This window comes from Homo sapiens, chromosome 10 (assembly GCF_000001405.40).
Source record: "Homo sapiens chromosome 10, GRCh38.p14 Primary Assembly".
NCBI lineage: Eukaryota > Metazoa > Chordata > Mammalia > Primates > Hominidae > Homo > Homo sapiens.
This window is the reverse complement of record NC_000010.11, coordinates 85,957,466-85,978,854: the sequence shown is the minus strand read 5'-3', so window position 1 is coordinate 85,978,854 and position 21,389 is coordinate 85,957,466. Positions and strand designations below refer to the sequence as shown.

At 41.4% G+C, this 21,389-nt stretch overlaps 1 protein-coding gene across 1 annotated transcript in view; it reads left to right on the top strand.

The window, feature by feature from the left end:
• The window catches only part of GRID1 (glutamate ionotropic receptor delta type subunit 1), a 767,244-nt gene that overhangs the window by 387,941 nt on the left and 357,914 nt on the right, over window positions 1–21,389 (top strand). The window lies entirely within an intron of this gene.

Below are 21,389 nucleotides of genomic sequence, written 5' to 3'. Positions count from 1 at the left end.
TGTGAGTAAACAGGGTTGCCACATGCAGCTGAGCAGGTTGCATCCTGCACCTGGATGGCTGGGAGGTGAGTCTGGACTTCATCAGCACACTGCTTGCTGCTCAGCAGGCCTTCCTCACTGGGGCATTTTCTTCTAATTTGAATAAGAGCTCATGCAGGCAGGGAGGACCCTGTATGGCAAATGTCTCACAGTGTTTCTAGCATGTAGTAGACATTCAAGAAGTGTTAGCTTTTTTTTTTTCTGTTAAAGTAATTGTCCATTACACAATTTGGAGGAACCTCTTTCAGAATTTAGGGAATGTCTGCTTCCTCCTTCCTGGTAATGTGATCAGTGTAACAATGTGTTTCCCTTTTTGCTCTTACTGCTGGGAAGGTCAAGTCCATTAATGCTTAGGTTTGTACAAATGTATTCACTTTTCCCTGGCTCTAATTTATTATGCCTTATTTATGTTGTACCAGTTGATTAAATATGTTCTTTGTGGTAAGCTACCCAGTCCCTTTGGAGAAAATGCTTCTAAGTAAATGCAATATGTTTTTCGGCTTGGGCAACATATCATCTGGCTGCTTTAGGTCCTTTGGCCTGGTAGATAGTCAGAGGTGAATGGAATAGCCTTGGCATCTGCATGGTGTTGACCCTGAACCCCAAGGATGTGGCTTTGGGGGATTTAAAAAAATCACAGGTTAGGTAGGGAAGACGCTGCATGGACTGGAAAAATGTCCACTGCGGGACCACTTGTTGATGGCTTTGCATGAACTTAAGCAAGAACTATAAGGATAACCCAGGTATGTGAGGATCCCTGGAAAGTTAGTAGTATGTTTTCAGAGAGCTGGATACATTCTCAGGCTCTTTTGGCCCTCTGGCCCAATTGACCTCGGCACTCTCATGTGGGCCCTGGAGTGGCGTCTGTGATCACAGCTGCCATCATGTCCATCATTCAGGGCACTAGATAGACCAGACCTCTGCCAGGCTCCTAAGCATGTTCCATCAGGGCATGATTAGTGTTGGGCTTGGCATTGTGCTTAAACAGCAGCTTAGGATTTCATTTTCACTGGGTCGGCGGGGAGGTCTTCAACTGGCTAGTGACTGCCACGTAAGGACTGGCTGGGTATTTCTGGATGTGAAATAGGGACTTGTGATCTAATCCAGGGCAGTAAGGAAGACCAGCCCACTGCGTTGTGTCTGGAGAGGGACAGCCTTGAGTGTGAGTGCAAGGGAGCACTCCCAGGCTCTGCAGGTGTGCATGGAGCCTTGCTCTAATCTAAGCCTAGGGGGTTGATTGCTCACTTTATGTTGCTAGAAATGTTTCATAGCTATGAATATGCCCTTGTTTTTCATATTTTTTTCTTCTCCAGAGTTCAAGCTCACTGCCCATGGGCTGAATTCAGATCAGAGGTGTATTTGTGTGGCTGGCATGGTATTTTCTACAACATCAGAGTCCCTTTAGGTGGGGTCTGCACCCTTGAGTCAGGCAAGTCTCATCTCTCCTCATGGGCTCATTCCTACCTGTTCCCCTCACTTCTCACCACTGTATTACCTGCCTGGGACAGATTCTGTGCTACCTCCAGCATTTACACTTTGGCCACAATAGGCTTTAGGATGGAAGGAAAGCTTTATTGAGCATCTACTACATGCCAGCCACTTTTCTAAGCGTTTTTGGAACTCTAGTCTTCTTCAGACTTTGCATCAACCCTATAAGGTAGACACTAATCACATTTATAGCAGAGGGGGCTGAACTCCAAATCAAATGCATCAGGAGAGTATGTCCCAGGATTTAAGCAGCCCTGGCTCCTACACAGGTTTCATGGGCTTCACCTCTCCCGTGAAGCTGGGCCTTGTCAGAGGTAGAAGACTGTGCTGGAACCCACAGGCCAGTGCTTAGTCCTTCCTAACTGCCTTCCATTTGGAGCAGGAGAAGAAAAACCATCTCTGGTAGTTGCAGACAAGTTCCCATTATGGTTGGAGTAAACCTGCACCCATGTGATATATTTTCCTGAGGCCTTAGAAACACAGCACTCCTGTCTTAGCCTGTCCTGTGGGGCCTTTGAAGACTGTCAGTCCTGAAGGCAGAATTTTGCAAAGAGCATACACAGAGGGAAACAGGTAAGCCTGTTCAGGTCTGCAGCCAAGAGCAGCAGCTGCTTCTCCTCAGGTTGCTGCAGGGACACTGGGGAACTGGACGAGGGCTACGTCTCCTGCATATCATCCTGGAATGTGAGGGACCCTCCTGGAGGTGCACGCACAGGTGGATGCCACGGGGGCAAGGGGCCGGGGAGCTAGATGGGTAGGTCAGGTTTTCTAAGACAAGGAAGCAGTGGCTTGCCCCATAGGTGAGTTCTTGCAGAAGCTAGAATCTGTAGCCTTCCTTCTACTCACCTGAAGGAGGTGCCATCCTCTGGAGAGAGCCAGACATGGGTCTGGTGAGCAGGAGCTCAGCCTGCCTTCACTCAGTCTGGAGGCATCCCCACTCCCTGGGGGCAGTGCCTTAAAATCACTTGACTTGAGGTCATGCTAGTAATTGGGATGTATTGATGGAGCACCATCCAGAGTTGTGATTAACTCGGATCAAAGTGCTCAGCAGAACACAGCCTTGCAGATAGATTAATTGCTACAGGAAATGATCACAGTTTGATCTCTGGTCATTTTGTTGTTATTTGAAAACAGAACAAAAAAAACAATAATCAAATTAGAGAAAATAAATGCTTCTTATTAATTAAGGGGAAAAAAGAGAAGAGAATAGTACAAAGATGTTCAGATCGTAAGAAAGACAAGGCACACATCACGGAAGTGTTGGCATCTATTAGACAACACTTGCCCACCCCGTGATGAGCTGGTAAGGTGAACAGAGGCAGAGGGTGCCTGAGCCATAGGTGAGCTCTCCTGGGGCTTCCTGGTGTTCTCACAGATGGCACGCTAGTTCTAAATGACAGATTTTGGAAGAATAATAAGGAAAAACCACATAAATATGTTAATATTTTTCATGTAGATGAAATATATTTTATAGGAAAGAAACCACTATTGTCCTTTTTGGGTGCATGAATTAAGTTTTTGGGAAAGGTGGCCTCTGAGAGAGAGAGCTTGACCTTGAGGGTCGATTTTCTTGATCATCTGCTGGGCAGTCCTTGCCTCCTGGAGCTGAGTTGAAAGAGGGCAACTTGGAGACCCCTTGACCATAGGCCTGGACCAAAAAGAGTCAGTCTCCAAAAGTTTGGGTTCTGGGGTAGCTTACTATAGACTGGACACTGCTCATTTTCCGCAGGGAGGCCATTCAGCTTTTCTTGTTTGCAAACTCCAGTTGATCCCAACCACAGATGAGCCATCCACTAGATCTCATCAAGCATCTTATAGCTTTTTTATTTTATTTTGTTTCCCGTATGGTAGAGGATCCAATTAGGACAATCGCCCTCTTGGCCCTAAATGTGGATGGCCTGGAGGAGCCACTTGGTGAAGTGGAAGTAAGAGTAGCCTCGTGACAGGCTGGCCCGACTGATGGCCCTTCAGTTCCCCACAGTCAGCCAGGAAAGGCTGCGCAAGCCCTGTCCACCCTGCACCTCAGCAAGGAGGATTTCAAAAAGTCCCGAGAAATCTCAGTGTTTTTGTCAAAATAAGGGAAGATGGCTTTTCGGGTTGTGCAGATTAGAAACTGAATGTGGGGAAGTAATTATGAATGTCCCTAATGGAGACAGAGAACGTTTGGATAGACTAACAGAGCCACATGTAGAGATTTTGGACAAATTCATTTGGGCAAATGATGAGAATGGGAATGTCTAAGGTGGCATATTTAGATTTGCATGAGGCTCTGGATGAAACCCTTGTAGAGAACATGGAGAAACACAGAATTTTAAGCAGGGCAATTAGGTTGATGTGTAACTTTAAACACATGTACCTAGAAGTTATTGATTCACTGATCAAAGTCAATCAAAGGAAGGCTTTAGGCCATGCTCATGGCCCACACCTATAATCCCAACACTTTGGGAGTCCAAGGTGGGAGGATGGCTTGGGGCCAGGAGTTTGAGAACAGCCTGGGCAACATAGTGAGACCCTGTCACTGCAAAAATAAAAAATTAGCCAGGCATAGTGGTGCGTGCCTGTGGTCCCAGCTACTTGGGAAGCATTAGGTAGCGTTCAACATGTCCATCATCCATGAAAAGTGGTGGAGCACTGACTGGTTGCAGAAAGTCAAGAGGGTCACTATTTCATTAGTGCTGCACAACCTGCCAGGTAATATAGGGGAGCATATTTAGCATAGTGCTCTCATATTTATTTGCTTGACAGATGAGGATCCCAAATATCTCCAATGACTGGTGCAGTGTGTCAGAGATAACAAGATAAAATCTGATGTGGAAAAATTGAAAGTCTTCCACTTAGATTCAAAAGGTCAATGGCAGCATTTGGTCTATAATTAAAAACAATAATAGTACCTGACATTTCTTGTGTTCTTGCTACTTATCAGGCATAATGCCAAGTGGTTTTCAGACATTATCCCATTTAGTCCTCACACAGCCCCCTGAGAGAGGCAGGTGATAATCTCTGTTTTACAAAAAACAAAACAAAACAAAACAAAACAAAACAAACAAAAAACTTGAGGCTTGGGCTTTGTGTGACTTTCCCTCGGTATTTCTTTCCTAAATATTGACTGATGAATTTATTTATGTGCACAATTGATACTGGATCTGGTCATGAGCTTGCTTTGGCCAATGGCATGCTGGCAAAAGTGAGCATGCAAGTTCTGAGCATAGACTTTCCGTAGAAAGCAGGCGTCCACCTACCCATCTACTCTGATAAAGAGAATATGCCCCAGGTATACACTGCCCTCACACTGAGCCCAAGAATGGGACGTGTGGAGCTGGGCCATCCAGGTGACTCCCCAGTCTGCGAATATGAGACATACACTCTTATATTGGGTGATAATGAGATTTTGTGGTTGTTTGCCACTTAGCAGCATGACTAATATATGTTGCCAGTTTGTAGCTGGGCTGGGATTCAAATCCACATAATCTGACTTCAGAACCCATGCTCTTTGGCTCTTTACCATATTTCATTGAAAGAAATAAGAGATGAATAATCAAGGAGACTTAATATATTCCCTGCTGTAGTCTTTTGGTTAAATACTTAAAAAGTCTATTCTCAATTTATAATTGTAGCCTAATCCTCATCAAAATTTCCATTCAGTGTCTTATTAGATTTTTACAAAATGATTAGAAAATAAAACTGGAAAGGAAAAGCTACTTTATATAGAAATAGTTAGAAAATAGCAAATAATGAAGGGGGCCAGTATTAACAGATTTTAGAACATAGAAGCCCATGTTAATTAAATCTGAGAAACACTGGTACAAACAGAGACTTCCAGCAACGAAAGACAAATCTGAAAGAGTTCCTTATACATAAAATAAGAGAAGATAAAGGAGGAATCAAATACCATGGAGAAAAGAAGGATTTGTAATGAAGGATGTTGGAAGAATGTATTAGTTATTTGGAAAAAAATAACTACAAATAGCAAAAAGTAGGCTACATGATTTTTCAGGTAACACTCTAAATTTTAAAGTGGTAAAAATATTTAAAAAGTAAATAGATCCAATGTACAAAAAGTAAAAACTTCTTTATAAAGACAAAAAATAAAGAAAAAAAAGTGAAGGGAAAATTATTTGTTACAAATATACAAAATGGGAATATTTACCTTGCCTCATTCAAATTAATAGGCAAATTCAAACCTGGTTAACACTGGACAAAAGGTATGAATGAACAAGTGACATCGGAATGAATAAGGTTCAGTTCACCTGAAAAGTCACGTGGTGCCACCTTGCTCTGTGCCTGGCCCTATGTTAAATACCAAGACTTCAAAACAAACATAGCAAAATGAACATCTTCAGGAATAACCAGTGAATTTCAAAATAAAATGAAATCCATGCAATCATCTTATATCTATTATATCTATTATAGATGATTAAAAGTAGTAATGCTATCAAGGTTGTGATAAAACTGGTGACTTTATACATTGCTGGTTGCTGTGTCAATGGGAAAAACCATTTGTAAAACATACCTAGAATCATCAATGTGTTCATTTGTTTGACCCAATAATCTCACTTGTTAAAATTTATCCTAACCTTGTAATTTAAGTGAGAAATACATAAATATATAAGGATTGTATTGTAGTGCTATCTTCCATACTGAACAATTGGAAACAACCTAAATGTTCAGTGTAGGGAATAGCTAAGTACATTATGGAATAGCCACGCAATAGACTATTGTGTAGCCAATAAACATGATGATTGCAAAGGCACTGAGAAAGTATTTCTGATATGATCATGAGTATTGAAATAGCAGAATTATACCTATGTAGTGATTAAAAGTACATAAAAATTAAATATATAAATATATTTAATATATTTATATAAATATATACATATATTTAATATAGTTATATAAATATATACATGACTAAGGCCCTGGAATCTGACGATTCATGGGATGGCTGGCCTGTGGGAAATTACGCTCTTCCCAATTGCCTTTGATTTCCATTAGGGTTGTTTCATTTTTCAGTAAACAAGTAAAAATAACATTAGATTAAAAAATGTGCCAAAGGATGGAATGAGAACAATGAGTCCTAGCTGTACCGGGGGAAAAAGAGACTTAGGAATGTGAGTTGTATTCAAGCTCACTATGAGCCATCAAAATTATGGGTCAGTTAAAAAAAAAAAAGAAAAATGGTCAGGAAAACCTTGAACGCTTTTTCTGAGACACAACATGAGATCCACAGGAGATGTCTGGCTTCTGTCATGCAACATAATGTCTTTGACATTTTCCCATGTTGTTGTGTCTGTTAGGGGTTGATTCTCATTTGTTACCACGTAGACATGTAGAATTCCTTTGTAAGAATATACGGTCATTTATTTATTCTTTTGTTAATGGAAATTTGGGTTATTTCTAATTTTTGGCTATGATGAATAAAGCTCTTATTGTTTTATTCTTGTTCTTGTCTTTTGGTGGGCATATGCACCCACTTATCTAGGGTATATACCTAGAAATGGGATTGCAGGATTATAAAGTAGATGTATGTTTAGTCTTAGAAGATGCTGGCAAACATTATCCCAAAATGATTGCAGGAATTTTTTCCCACCTGAACTGTATGAAAGTTTCAGATACTCTACATTCTCAACAACACTTAGTGTTGGTAGTCTTTTTAATTTCAGCTATTCCAAAGGCAGGAGTGAGTCTCACTGTGGTTTTAATTTCCATTTCCCTGATGACTGAAGATGTTGAGCATTTTTCACATTCTTACCAGCCATTTGGATATCCTGTTTTGTAAAAGGCTTGTTCAGAACTTTCTCCCACTTTACTTTTTCAATTGGGTTGTTGGACTTTTTCTTTTTGATTTACAGGATAATTTTTAAAACTAAAAATGCTGAATATGGGTCTTTTTGGGACATATGTATTATGAATACCTTGTCATTTGTATCATCTTTTTCACTATCTAAATTTGGTGTCTTTTGGTGAGCAACAGTTATTACTTTTTAATAAAGTATGATTGATTATTTTTAAATGGTTACTGCCTTTTGTCTTATTTTAAAAATCTATGCCTACATTAAGGCAAGGAAGCTATCTTCCTATATTTTGTTTTAGAAGCTTATTTATTTTTATTTTACCTTTTACATTTAGATCTGAAGCTGAATGACTCCTGGGGAAAGGTTGTCACTGGGGAACCATCTAAGTGCATCTGTTTTCACTTAGATTTGTTATTTTTATTCCTAAATTTGATTTCCTTTTCATACTACTGTAAATGGAATTGTTTCATTAATTTTATTTTTATTTTCATGATAGTATATAGAAATAGAGTTGATTTTTACATATTGATCTTGTATCCTGCAACCTTGCAGAATTTATTTATTAGCCTTGATAGTTTTTTGTGTGAATATCTTAGGACTTTAAAAAAAATAAATGAGCTGTGTCATCTGCAAATATAGATAGTTTTACTTCTTCCTCCCTATTTCCTTCTAGATGTTTTAAAATTTCCTTTTCTTGCCTGATTTGCATGACTAGAATCTCCAGTACAATATTGAGTAGAAGTTGCAAAAGTGGATATCCTTGTCTTGTTCCTTGTCTTAGGGGAAAAACATTGAGTCTTTCATCATTCAGTATGATGTTAGCTGCAGATGTTTCATAGATGTCCTTTATCAGGTTGAAGGAGTTTTCTTCTATTCCTAATTCGTTGAGTGTTGTTGTTGTTTTTAATCATGAAAAGCTTTGAATTTTGTCAAATGCTTTTTCTGCATCTGTAAAGATAATCATATGTTTTTTGTCCTTTATTCTGTTAACTATGGCATATTACATTGATTGGTTTTCAGATGTTAAACAAATCCTGCATTCCTAGGATAAATCTCACTTGACGGTCATGTATAATTCTTGTTATATGCTGCTGGATTTATTTTGCTAGCATTTTGTTGAAATTTTTTGTGCCGATATTCATAAAGGTTACTGGTCTGTAGTCCTCTTTTCTTGTGGTGTCTTTGTCTGATTTTAGTATCAGGGTAACAGTAGCCTCTTAGAATGAGTTTGGAAGTGTTCCCTCCTATTCTATTTTTTGGAAGAGTTTGTGAAGGCATGGCATTAAATCTTCTTTAAATATTTGAAAGAATTCGCCAGTGAAGACATCTGGGCTTTGACTTTACTTTGTGGGAAGTTTTAAAATTACCAATTCAATTTCTTAACTTGTTATAGGTATATTCAGGAATTCTGTTTCTTTTTGAGAGAGTTTCAGCAGTTTGTGTCTTTCTAGAAATATATCTAGTTCGCTTATTTAGTTTGTTGTCACACAGCTATTTATTTTTATTTTTTTAAGGTCAGTAGTGAAATCCCCTCTTTTATTTCTGATTCTAGTAATTTGAATCTTCTATAATTTTTAATTGATAAATCTAGTTAAATTTTATCAATTTTGTCAGTCTTGAAAAAAATCAACTCTTTGCTTATTGATTTTCTCTATTATTTTTCTATGCTCTATTTCATTTATTTCCATTCCAATCTTTATTATTTCCTTAATTTTCCTTATTTTGGTGTTAGTTTGCTCTTTATCTTTTTAGTTTCTTAAGGGAGAAGGTTAAGTTACTGATTTGAGGCCTTCTTTCTCTTTCAACGTAGGTGTTTACACCCACAAATTTTCCTCTAGGCACTGCTTTTGTCACATCCTATAAATTTTGATATTCTGTATGTTTTTCTCATTAATCTCAAAGTTTTAAAAAATTTTCTTTGTAATTTCTTCTTTGACTCATTGATTATTGAGGGGTTTGTGGTCTAATTTCCACATATTCATGAATTTTCGAAATTTCCTTCTAGTATAGATTTTCTACTTTAATTCTATTTAGGTCAAATAACATACTTTGTGTGATTTTAATCCTTTTACTTTTATCGAGGCATGTTTTAGGGCATAGCACATAGTCTGTCCTATCCTGGGGAAATGTTCCATGTGTGCATGAGAAGAATTCTCCTCTTGTTGAATGGAGTGTTCCATAGATATCTGTTAAATCTAGTTGGTTTATAGCATTTTTCAAGCTGTTTCCTGATTGAACTTCTGTCTAGTTGTTCTACCAATTATGGAAAGTGAGATATTGTAGTCTCCAACTATAATATTATCATTGAATTATTTATGTCCACCTTCAATACTGTCAATTTTTGCCTCCTGTGTTTTTGGGGTGCTATTGTTAGATGAACATAGGTTTATAAAACATACCTTCCTAATAGATGGACACTTTATCATTATAAAATGTTCCTTTTGTGTTCAATAGCACTTTTGTCTTAAAGTCTATTTTGTCTGCTATTAGTACAGCCACTTCAGCTGTCTTGTGGTTACTGTTTGTATGGTACATATTTTCCCATTGTTTTACTTTCAACCTATTATATCTTTGAAACTAAAGTGTGTTTTTTGTAGATTACATCTGGTTGCATCTTTTAAAAAATTCACTCTGTCGTTCTGCCTTCTGATTGGAGTATTTAATTCATTTACATTTAATGTAATTACTGATAAAGTAGATTAGCACCTTCCATTTTGTTGTTTGTTTTCTACATGTCTTATGTGTTTGTTCCTTTTTCCATTACTGCTTTATTTTGCATTCAATATATATTTTCTAATGTAACATTTTAATTCCCTTGTTTCTTTTTCTGTATATATTTTTTAGTTATTTTTGTGGTGGTTGCCCTGGGAATTACAATTAACATGTTACCTTAAAACAAACTGGAACAGATTAATGGTAGATAATTTTAAATGTTATGCAAAAACTTTGCTTTAGTGTAGCTGTTTCCTCCCCCTTCTTTATATTATTGTTGCTGTCGAAATTGCATATTTATACATTTGAAGCCTGTCAATACAGATTTAAAAGTGTTATTACAGGCAGTTGTCTTTTTTTTTTTTTTTTTTTTGAGACAGAGTCTTGCTGTGTCGTCCAGGCTAGAGTGCAGTGGCGCGATCCCGGCTCACAGCCAGCTCCGCCTCCCGGGTTCATGCCATTCTCCTGCCTCAGCCTCCCGAGTAGCTGGGACTACAGGTGCCCGCCACCAGGCCCAGCAAATTTTTTGTATTTTTAGTAGAGACGGGGGTTTCACCATGTTAGCCAGGATGGTCTCGATCTCTTGACCTTGTGATCCACCCGCCTCGGCCTCCCAAAGTGCTGGGATTACAGGAGTGAGCCACTGCACCTGGCAGGCAGTTGTCTTTTGATCAAATAGGAGGACAGAGTTACAAAAATACATTTATACCTTCATTTTTACTTATATTGTTACCTTTATCAGTGCTCTTTATTTTGTATGTTAATTCAGATTATTATCTATTGTCTTTTCATTTGAGACTAAAGGACTTCTAGTATCTCTTGTAAAGCCAATATAATAACAAATTTTATCCATTCTCATTTATCTGTGAATGTCTTAATTTCTCCTTCATTTTTGCTGGCTAGTTTTTGCCAGATATAAAATTCTTGACTGACGGTCTTTTACTTGCAGTACTTTGAACATGTCATCTTACTACCTCTGGCCACCATGGTCTCTGCTGAGAAGTCAGATGACAATCTTATTCCTCATCAGTGATGAGTCATTTCTTTCTTGCTACTTTCAAGAATCTCTGGCTTTGGTTTTATGATGTATTTAGGCATGAGTCTCCCTGAGTTCTCCTTCTTAGCATTGATTGAGCTTCATTCAAGAATTTCATTTAGTTCTTTAAAAATATAATTTCTGTCTCTTTATTGACATTCTCCATTTGGTGAGATACTATTGTTATACTTTAATTTTTTTAGACACGATTTTCTCTAGTTCCTTGAAAATATTTTTAATAGCTGACTTAAAGTCTTTGGGTACTAATTTCAACAACTGTCCCCCATGGGACAATTTATATTGAATGCATTTTTTCCTATTTTTCTGAATGTCTCATATATTTTGTTGAAAACTGAACACTTTAGATAATATGATGTGGCAACTCTGGAAATAAGTCCCCTTTATCCTGGGTTTGTTGCTTTTCTCTCTTTCTTTCTTTCTTTCTTTCTCTTTTGGTGGTGTTGCTGTTGCTATATACTTGTTTAGTAACTTTGATGGACTAGTTTTGTGATGTCTTTATTACCTGTAGTGTGTATCTGTATTAGTTTGTTCTCATGCTGCAATAAAGACATACCTGGAACTGAGTAATTTATAAAGAAAAAGGTTTAATTGACTCACAGTTCCACATGGCTGGGGAGGCCTCACAATCATGGCAGAAAGCAAAGGGGAAGCAAGATATATCTTACGTGGCAGCAGGTGAGAGAGCTTGTGCAGGGGAACTGCCATTTATAAAACCATCAGATCTTGTGAGACTTATTCACTACCATGAGAACAGTATGGGGAAAACTGCTCCCAGTAGTCAATTATCTCCACCTGTCCCTGCCCTTAAGGCATGGGGATTATTACAATTCAAGGTGAGATTTGGGTGGGGACACAGCCAAACCATGTCAGTATCCATTTAAGTCTCTGCTCAGTTTTCTTAGTAGTCAGCTAATACTTGGTGGTCATATATTTCTTTCTGCTTTTTTTTTTTTGAGGTGGAGTCTCACTCTGTCACCCAGGCTGGAGTGCAGTGGCATGATCTTGGCTCACTGAAACCTCTGCCTCTCGGGTTCAAGTGATTCTCCTGCCTCAGCCTCCTGAGTAGCTGGGATTACAGGTACACACCACCATGTCCAGCTAATTTTTATATTTTTAGTAGAGCTAGGGTTTTGCCTTGTTGGTCAGGCTGGTCTCAAACTCCTGACCTCAGGTGATCCACCCACCTCAGCCTCCCAAAGTCCTTGGATTACAGGTGTGAGCCACCGTATCTGGCCAGATATCTCTTTAGATGCCTTTAATCAATATAATTTTTACCCTTTCCTGGGGGTTCTGTATGTATGATGGGGCATGCTTTAGATGCTCATGTAGGTACTTACAACTCTCTGTATTCTTTACTTTCTACTTATATATGGTCTCAAGGCCAGCCAGAGGTAAGATATTGGAGCTTTCTGAGATCTTTCCAGGTGTGTCCTAAATATCCAGGAATAGATCAGAGATTTCCCAATGTCCCTATGGGCATCTTTCTCTCTATTTTCCTTTTAAGGTTTTGGCCAGGCTGTTGTTTTTCCTAACTGTTATTACAGACTCAGGTATTTGTGATGCTAAACAATTGCTTCTAATTGTTTTTAACAAGTGCTCTAAGGACAGGGCTTTTCCTACCTAGTGAGCTTTAAGCCAGGTCAAATAATGACAACACCGTGTGCATAAGGATCTTCCAGGAAACACGTCAAATTGTGACAATGCCCTGGAGAATGGAACTTTTTAAGACGCTCCAAACTCAGTTCCCACCCCATCTTGTAGCTGCAAGGAAGATGGTCTTCTTAACCACCTGGGTTGAGTGATTGCTGGTTTTTAAGGCTACTCTGGAGCTGGGGAGGAGGTGGTGGGAGTAGATCTAGTTAAAGTACCATAAATCCTGATGTTCTTACCAAGGATTAGCTGGGATTTTTTGAATAAACACTCCTTAGGTTGTTATATGGCTTTGGTTAATTTCTAGGGTTGTGAGAAAGTTTTTTTTTTTATTATATTTTAAGTTCTGGGGTACATGTGCAGAACACGCAGGTTTGTTACATAGGTATACATGTACCATTGTGGTTTGCTGCACCCATCAACCCATCATCTACATTAGGTATTTCTCATAATGCTATCCCTCCCCTAGCCTCCCACCCCCTGACAGGCCCTGGTGTGTGATGTTCCTCTCCCTATGTCCATGTGTTCTCAGTGTTTAACTCCCACTTATGAGTGAGAACATGTGGTGTTTGGTTTTCTGTTCTTGTGTTAGATTGCTGAGAATGATGGTTTCCAGTGTCATCCATGTCCCTGCAAAGGACATGAACTCATCTTTTTTTCTGGCTGCATAGTATTCCACGGTGTATATGTGCCACATTTTCCTTATCCAGGCTATCATTGATGGGCATTTGGATTGGTTCCAAATCTTTGCTATTGTGAACAGTGCCACAATAAACATATGTGTGCATGTGTCTTCATAGTAGAATGATTTATAATTATTTGGGTATATACCCAGTAATGGGATTGCTGGATCAAATGGTATTTCTAGTTCTAGATCCTTGAGGAATTGCCACACTGTCTTCCACAATGGTTGAACTAATTTACACTCCCACCAACAGTGTAAAAGCATTCATTTTCTCCACATCCTCTCCAGCACCTGTTGTTTCCTGACTTTTCAATGATTGCCATTCTAACTGGCATGAGATGGTGTCTCTTTGTGCTTTTGATTTGCATTTCTCTAATGATCAGTGATGATGAGCTTTTTTTCATATGTTTGTTGGCTGCATAAATGTCTTCTTTTGAGAAGTGTCTATTCATATCCTTTGCCCACTTTTTGATGGGGTTGTTTTTTTCTTGTAAATTTGTTTCAGCTCCTTGTAGATTCTGGATATTAGCCCTTTGCAGATGGATAGATTGCAAAATTTTTCTCCCATTCTGTAGGTTACATGTTCACTCTGATGATAGTTTCTTTTGCTGTGCAGAAGCTCTTTAGTTTAATGAGATCCCATTTGTCAATTTTGGCTTTCATTGCCATTGCTTTTGGTATTTTAGACATGAAGTCTTTGCCCATGCCTATGTCCTGAATGGTACTGCCTAGGTATTCTTCTAGGGTTTTTATGGTTTTAGGTCTAATATTTAAGTCTTTAATCCATCTGGAGTTAATTTTTGTAAAAGGTGTAAGGAAGGGATCCAGTTTCAGCTTTTGGCATATGGCTAGCCCGTTTTCTCAACACCATTTATTAAATAGTGAATCCTTTCCCCATTGCTTGTTTTTGTCAGGTTTGTCAAAGATTAGATGGTTGTAGATGTGTAACATTATTTCTGAGGCCTCTATTCTGTTCCATTGGTCCATATATCTGTTTTGGTACCAGTACCATGCTGTTTTGGTTACTGTAGCTTTGTGGTATAGTTTGAAGTCAGGTAGCATGATGCCTCTAGCTTTGTTCTTTTTGCTTAGGATTGTCTTGGCTCTGTGGTCTCTTTTTTGGTTCCATATGAAATTTATTTTTTCATGTTTTTTCCCAATTCTTTGAAGAAAGTCAATGGTAGCTTGAGGGGGATAGCATTGAGTCCATAAATTACTTTGGGCAGTATGGCCATTTTCATGATATTGATTGTTCTTATCCATGAGCATGGAATGTTTTTCCATTTGTTTGTGTCCTCTCTTATTTCCTTGAGCAGTGGTCTATAGTCCTCCTTGAAGAGATCCTTCATATCCCTTTTAAGTTGTATTCCTAGGTATTTTATTGTCTTAGTAGCAATTGTGAATGGGAGTTCGCTCATGATTTGGCTCTCTGTTTGTCTGTTATTGCTGTAGGGATGCTTGTGATTTTTTAATTCTTTTATGGAAGGGCTTATTTATGGAAGTCCTTACTCTGCCATGTATAAATCCTCTTTCAGTTAGATATGAGGACCTTTTAAGTAATTTCTGCATGTGCTGTGTCAGGTGCTGCTGCTAGAATGAGAAATAAGATATAGGGCTTGTTTTCATCTCATAATGTGAAAAGGAGAGGGACAAGTTGCATACAAAAGCAACAAAATGTTACACACATAGAAGGATGACCAGGGTGAAGTAATGGCTCAAGGAATGTAGTGGCTATATCTACCTTTGAGGCAAGGTGTGACCAGGAGAATCATGGTGAAGGAGTAGTCTTATACATATGGACATGAAATAACCCCACGGATTTGGGAAGCTGCTTTGGAATCAGGTTGGGCGTGGTAAGAGTGGAGGATGGGGAGATCATCAGGGGCCTGGTGTCAGGAGGTTAGAGTTTTTTTGAAAAGCTATGAGAGCCTTAGCAGAGGTTTGAGCACAAGTCTGACTTGTTCAGATGGAAGTGAGCAAAAGTCACCCTGTCCACTGTGTGGCGAGTGCATTGGAGGGTAAGTGAGAAATGGGATGGGAGTCTTAGGAAAGAGGACTGGTTTCTTAACTTGGCAGAGAGGTGATGGTCAATACCTGGGAGTAAGGTAGTGGCAGTGGAGAAAGGAAGGAAGGGTTGGAGTGAAGAGATAATTCAGTAGTAGAATCCATGGGACCCGAAACCCAATTTCATATGAAAGAAAGGTCAGAAGAATCTTTTTTTTTTTGGCTGAAAGATGTAGCTTGTTCCCATGAAGAAAGCCATGAGCCTTCTAAGTTTCAACTGCCTCCAGGAACATGTTCTGGAATCCATGATATAGTTACAGCAAGGGAAGTAAATAAAGAAATAACCTCCAGTTCAGGCATCAGCAACACATGTCATTCTTCCAGACTTCCCTGGCTGGGTTGGGCAGCTCCTCTTAGGCTCACACAGAACCTGCTTCTTATGCCTAGCAGAGCACTTAGCATATTACTTTAAAATTATCCATTTATGTGCCTGTCTTTCCCTGTAAACCATGAGTGGTTTAAGCATAGGAACCAAGTCTCACTCAGCATTGCTTCCCTAGCTTGTCCCAGAGTCGGGATTAACAATTGTGTATTGAATTAAGGATGGGTGTAGAGGGTTAGGAAGAAAGGATATCTGGAAGGGTAGTACTGAGTGGTTTCATAAATTTTTAAATTTCTCCCCAAACCCAGTACCTCCCAAACCTGAGCAGAGTGTTCAGTTGTCATAGCCCTGCTCAGTGCTTTAGACACTCAGTCTCCCTGGGGCAAGGGTGGCACCTTGATCAAGATGGTTTCTCTTGAGCCACCATCTTGCATTCTAGGATCCCCACTGGGAGCTGTTAGTGTGCCTTGAGGCCAGGTTGTGCTGGACACATCTGTGATGATGTTTTCTTCCCTCCCTCTCCATTTAGGAAGCTGACATGGCTCCAGGCAATGTAACTTCTCTGGGCATCATTTTCAAGTGGAGCTTTTGGACAGTTCTAACGTTTGTCAGGTGCTTGGGAGGTCTATGCAGCTGAGCTGGGGCTTTTTTCTGATTTTTAGGGACTGGCAGCTTCAGGTTGTCTCCTTAAGTAGAGAAGCAAGGTGGAAATTGGGAAAGAAGGCTGTAGGGGAAGATCACTTCCATCCAGTCACCAGATGCTAAGCAACTTTGTAGGGGAGAGCAATGAACCCGGGGATGCTGGAAAGGAATGCCGGGAAGGGAAGGAGGGAAGGGAAGGGTGGCAGACCCCTGTAGGAGCCCACCAGGGACCCTTGCACCATGAGCACAGTGAAACCCAGACCAGTGAGGAGGCCTGACCAAAGGAGAGCGAGTGGCCCAAGCCATAGACCTCAGGATCCACAGACCACCCTCTGTCCTCCCTCCCTCTGCCTTTCTTCCTTCATTCCCTTCCTCCTTCTTTCCTTCCTTCCTTCTGCTCTTTTTGCTTCCTTATTTTCTTCTTTTCTTCCTTCCTTTCTTTATTCTTCCCTTCCTTCCCTCCTTTGTTCTTTTCTTTCTTCTTTTCTTCCTTTGTTCTTTCTCCTTTTCCTTCCCTCCTTCCCTCTCTCTCTTTTCTTCCTTCCATCCTTTTTGTCCTTAGGAAGGAAGGCAGGAAAGAGGGAGGGAGGGAAGCCTGAAGGAAGGGAAAAAGGAGAAGGAAAGAAGGAAGAAGGGAAGAGAGGGAGGAAGGAAAGATAGAAGGAGGATGGGAAGGAAGGAAGAAAGGAAGAAGGGAGGGAAAGAAGCAGGGAAGGAAAAAAGGAAGGAGAGAAGGAAGCTGAGAAGGAAGGAGGGAAAGAGAGAAAAACAGATGAAAGGCAGAAAAGGAAGGAATGAAAGAAGGAGGGAGAGAAGGTAAAAAGGAAGGAAGGAAAGAAGGAAGGAGGAAAGGGAAGAAGGAAGGGAGGAAGGAAGAAAGGCAGAAGGGAGGGAGGACAGACGGTGGTTGGTGGGTCCTGAGGTCTTTGGACACAAGCCAGTTGATTTCGTTTGCCTCAGGACCCAAGTGGCGGGAGGCCTCCTCACTGGTCTGGGCTTCACTGTGCTTATGATACCAGGGTCCCTGGTGGGCTCTACAGGGGATCTGCTCATAGCTCCCGGGCTGACAGATGCGGGAGACTTGTTGGGCATAGCTAATGTGCCTGGTGGTGCCAGCTGTGAAGGGAGGCAGGGGCAGGCTCAGAGGAGAACCCAGTGCCGCATGATAATTGAGGCTTGTGTTTGGGGAGCAATTTAGTGTTTTCAAAGCACTTTCATGTACATTATTTCATTCTATCCTCAGAGCGATACTGTGAATGTGTTATTATCACTCTGTTCTGTTCAGAGTAGAAATCTGGGCTTAGGATGTACTGCCATTCAACAAGGCAGGGCCCACTTCTGAGACTCCTGAGACTGGCCCTGGAGCCCTTCACTCCAGGCCTAGACACCACAGAGAGCTCCTTGCCAGCCTCCGTGCGACTCTACCACCGAGCCTCTCTCTGTGAGTCCTCAGGGTGAAGGCCAGGGTTAATAGCAGGGTCTGCAGAAGCCCCTCCTCCCTCCTGAAGCCACCAGCAACAAGCAGGAAAGTTCTCAAGAGATCAAAAGAAATGTTTTCCCTGAGTGAGGTCAGTGCTCACAATGGTGCATCCATGGGTGGAATGCAGTGCTCCAATTCCAGCAAGGCTGGTGTGGCCGTGATAGAAGTGATTAAACCAGGCTCAATCCATTGATTCATTCATTTGGTTGTTCGCCAACATGTAGCGGCAATTGTTAATGCAAGGCAGGTGAGAGATTCTTGCAGGTGGGGTCAAGGGGAGAGACATACAGGTCAGTAGGGCGAGGTCCGGCCCTTGAGCCTTGGCTGGTGGAAATGTATAGTGCTCTCTCTACCTTAGCATGGCTGTGCTGTGTGGATATATGCTCTCATGCCCACAGCAAATGCAGAGGGGAGCTCAGTGTTGAAGGCTAGAGAAAGCTTATAAAGCTTTAGCAAAGAGAGGGCTCTAGACCTGGCCAGGGAAGGCCTGCTGTACTATGATATGATCACAACCTTTTCCTGACTCTGCATCCTGCAGGCAGCACCTGAACACTTCGCCACCTGTCTGTGTGGGCAGAGTGATGTTAAAACTTTGCCAGCTTTGCTAGTGAAAATGGAAGATTGTGCAACTATTTCAGAGGACAGTTTGTCTGTTTCTTAGAAAGCTAAGCATAAAATTACCTTAGGACTTTGCTATTCTGCTCCTAAATATTGACCCAGAAGAGGCTGAGCGTGGTGGCTCACACCTGTAATCCCAGCACTTCTGGAGGTTGAGGCAGGCGGATCACTTGAGGTCAGGAGTTTGAGACCAGCCTGGCCAACCCTGTCTCTACCAAAAAATGGTGAAACCCTGTCTCTACCAAAAAATGCAAAAATTAGCCAGGAGTGGTGGCACATGCCTGTAGTCTCAGCTACTTAGGAGGCTGAGGCACAAGAATCACTTGAACCCAGAAGGCGGAGGTTACAATGAGCCGAGATTGTGCCACTGCACTCCAGCCTGGGTGACAGAGTGAGATCCTGTCTTAAAAAAAAAAATTACCCAAAAGAAATGAAAAAAATATATCCACACAATGACTTGGACATGAATGTTTAGCGCAGCTTTAATCGAAAAAGCAAAAAACTGAAAATGATGCAAATGTTCATTGACAGGTGAATAGATAAACAAATAGTGATGTTCTCAGTAATAGAAATTAGACAGTAATTAAAGAAAACAATCTGGTGATACACACAGTGACAAAGATGAATCTCAAAAACATTATGCTGAGCAAAAGAAGCCAGACCGGAAAAAGAGTACCTTATGTATCATTTTATGTCTATGAAACCCTGGAAAAAGTGAATCTGATCTTGAGCTACAGAAAGCAGACCAGTGGTTGCCTCGGGTGGGGGCGGGTGGGAGACTGGCTGGCAGTGCACAGGGAACTCTCCTGGATGATGGAAATGTGCTCCATCAGGATCAGCAGGTGGGTGCACAGGTGGATGTCCTTGCCAACTCATTGCCCTGAACATCTCAAGGCAGATGCTGCCAAGGCACTGGTGCAACACTCTGGAGACCCTGCTGCACCTCGTCTTGTTCCCTTTATTTGCCAGGTCACAGAGAGGGCCAAAGTTTCCCAGAGGAGGGTTCAGTTTGGCCAGGACAGGGCAGGAGTGTCATTGAGAAGTGTTGCATCAGTCAGGGTCCTCCAGAGAAGCAGAATCAGTACACATACACATAGAAGAAGAGATTCATTATAAGGAATTGGCTCAGGCACTTTTGGAGGCTGACAAATCCCAAGATGTGCAGTCAGGAAACAGGAGACCCAGGAGAGCCAGCGGTGTCAGTTCCAGTCTGAAAGAGGATTCAGTTCAAGTTTGAAGGTTGGAAAATACCAATGCCCCAGCTCAACACAGTCAGGCAGACAAAGTTCCCGCTTCCTCAGCTTCTTTTTCTTTTTCTTTCTTTCTTTCTTTCTTTTTTTTTTTTTTTGAGACGGAGTTTCACTCTCATAGCTCAGGCTGGAGTGCAATGATGTGATCTTGGCTCACCACAACCTCTGGCTCCTGGGTTCAAGTGATTCTCCTGCCTCAGCCTCCTGAGTAGCTGGGATTACAGGCATGTGCCATCATGCCTGGCTAACTTTGTATTTTTAGTAGAGATGGGGTTTCTCCATGTTGGTCAGGCTGCTCTTGAACTTCCGACCTCAGGTGATCTGCCTGCCTCAGCCTCCCGAAGTGCTGGGATTACAGGTGTGAGCCACCACGCCTGGACCCTCAGCTTCTTTTTGTTTTATTCAGATCTTCAACTGATGGGATGAAGCCCACCTACATTAGTGGGGGTGATCTACCTTACTTAGTTACTGATTCAAATGCTAATCTCATCCAGAAACACCCTCACAGACACACCCAGATTAATATTCAGCCAAATGTCTGGACACCCTGTGGCCCAGTCAAATGCTAATCTCACCCAGAAACACCCTCACAGACACACTCAGATTAATATTCAGCCAAATGTCTGGACACCCTGTGGCCCAGTCAAATAGACATATAAAATTAACAATCACAGGTGTCACCAAGGGGCCTTGAGGTGACAGATGGGTATTGTATTGTTTAGTGTGTTCATATGGGTTCAGTGTAGCAGGGCACCTGTGGGTGAGGGGCAGGTAGTTTGTGACTTACCCCTGGCATTCCTATCTTTGAGGAGATTATGGTGCCATGAGAGAGACTGTCATCAGTAAAAAAGTTACTCATGGAAGTAAAATTCAAACTGCAGTAATATTTACAAAGGAGCATGTGGGGTCCAGGAGAGGCCCAGGTTGACCTGACCCAGCAGGGGTCAGAGGGGTTTCTAGAGGTTATTGGCCCTGGGCCTGTGAGGTTTGCCTTTGTTGTCCACTTGCTGGGTTTTGCCATCATGGCCCTGAGTAGCTGGCACATCTCCCGACTCCCTTAGGGGGAGTTTCACGTGTTCCATTCTTGCTTTAGTTAAAAGTAGCTCAATTTGGGGAAGGTCCTTACTTGCAGCTTGTCTCACCTTGATAGGTGACAGCCAGGTTTGCAGAGGCTGCCTTTCCATGTCACGTTCACCCTGAGGAGCCAGACCAGGCATATAGACATCCCCAGCCTAGCTTTCCATTAACCTCTCCTCTCCCAAGCTTAGGGGAAGAGTTACCTGGGAATGGGTGGCTGCTGACCTTCAGCATGGGTGCAGGGAGAGCATGGCCTGCAGAGCAGGCTTGGAGTCTTGCCGTACCAATCCTGTCTGGGATTCAGGGTGTTCTAGATGGGCTGCAACCCTACCAGGTGGGCTCAGGGTGTCAAGACTCTCTTTTCTGCATTTTCACCGGGGAGAATATTCATCCTTTCCTCCTTCCTACTGCTCTCTGATTTCATTTTGGGGAGTTCCATCTTGCCCTTATGTGTAGTCTGGGGGGATTATCCCATTTACAGAAGCCAAAGGGGCCAGATATGCCTTCTTAACT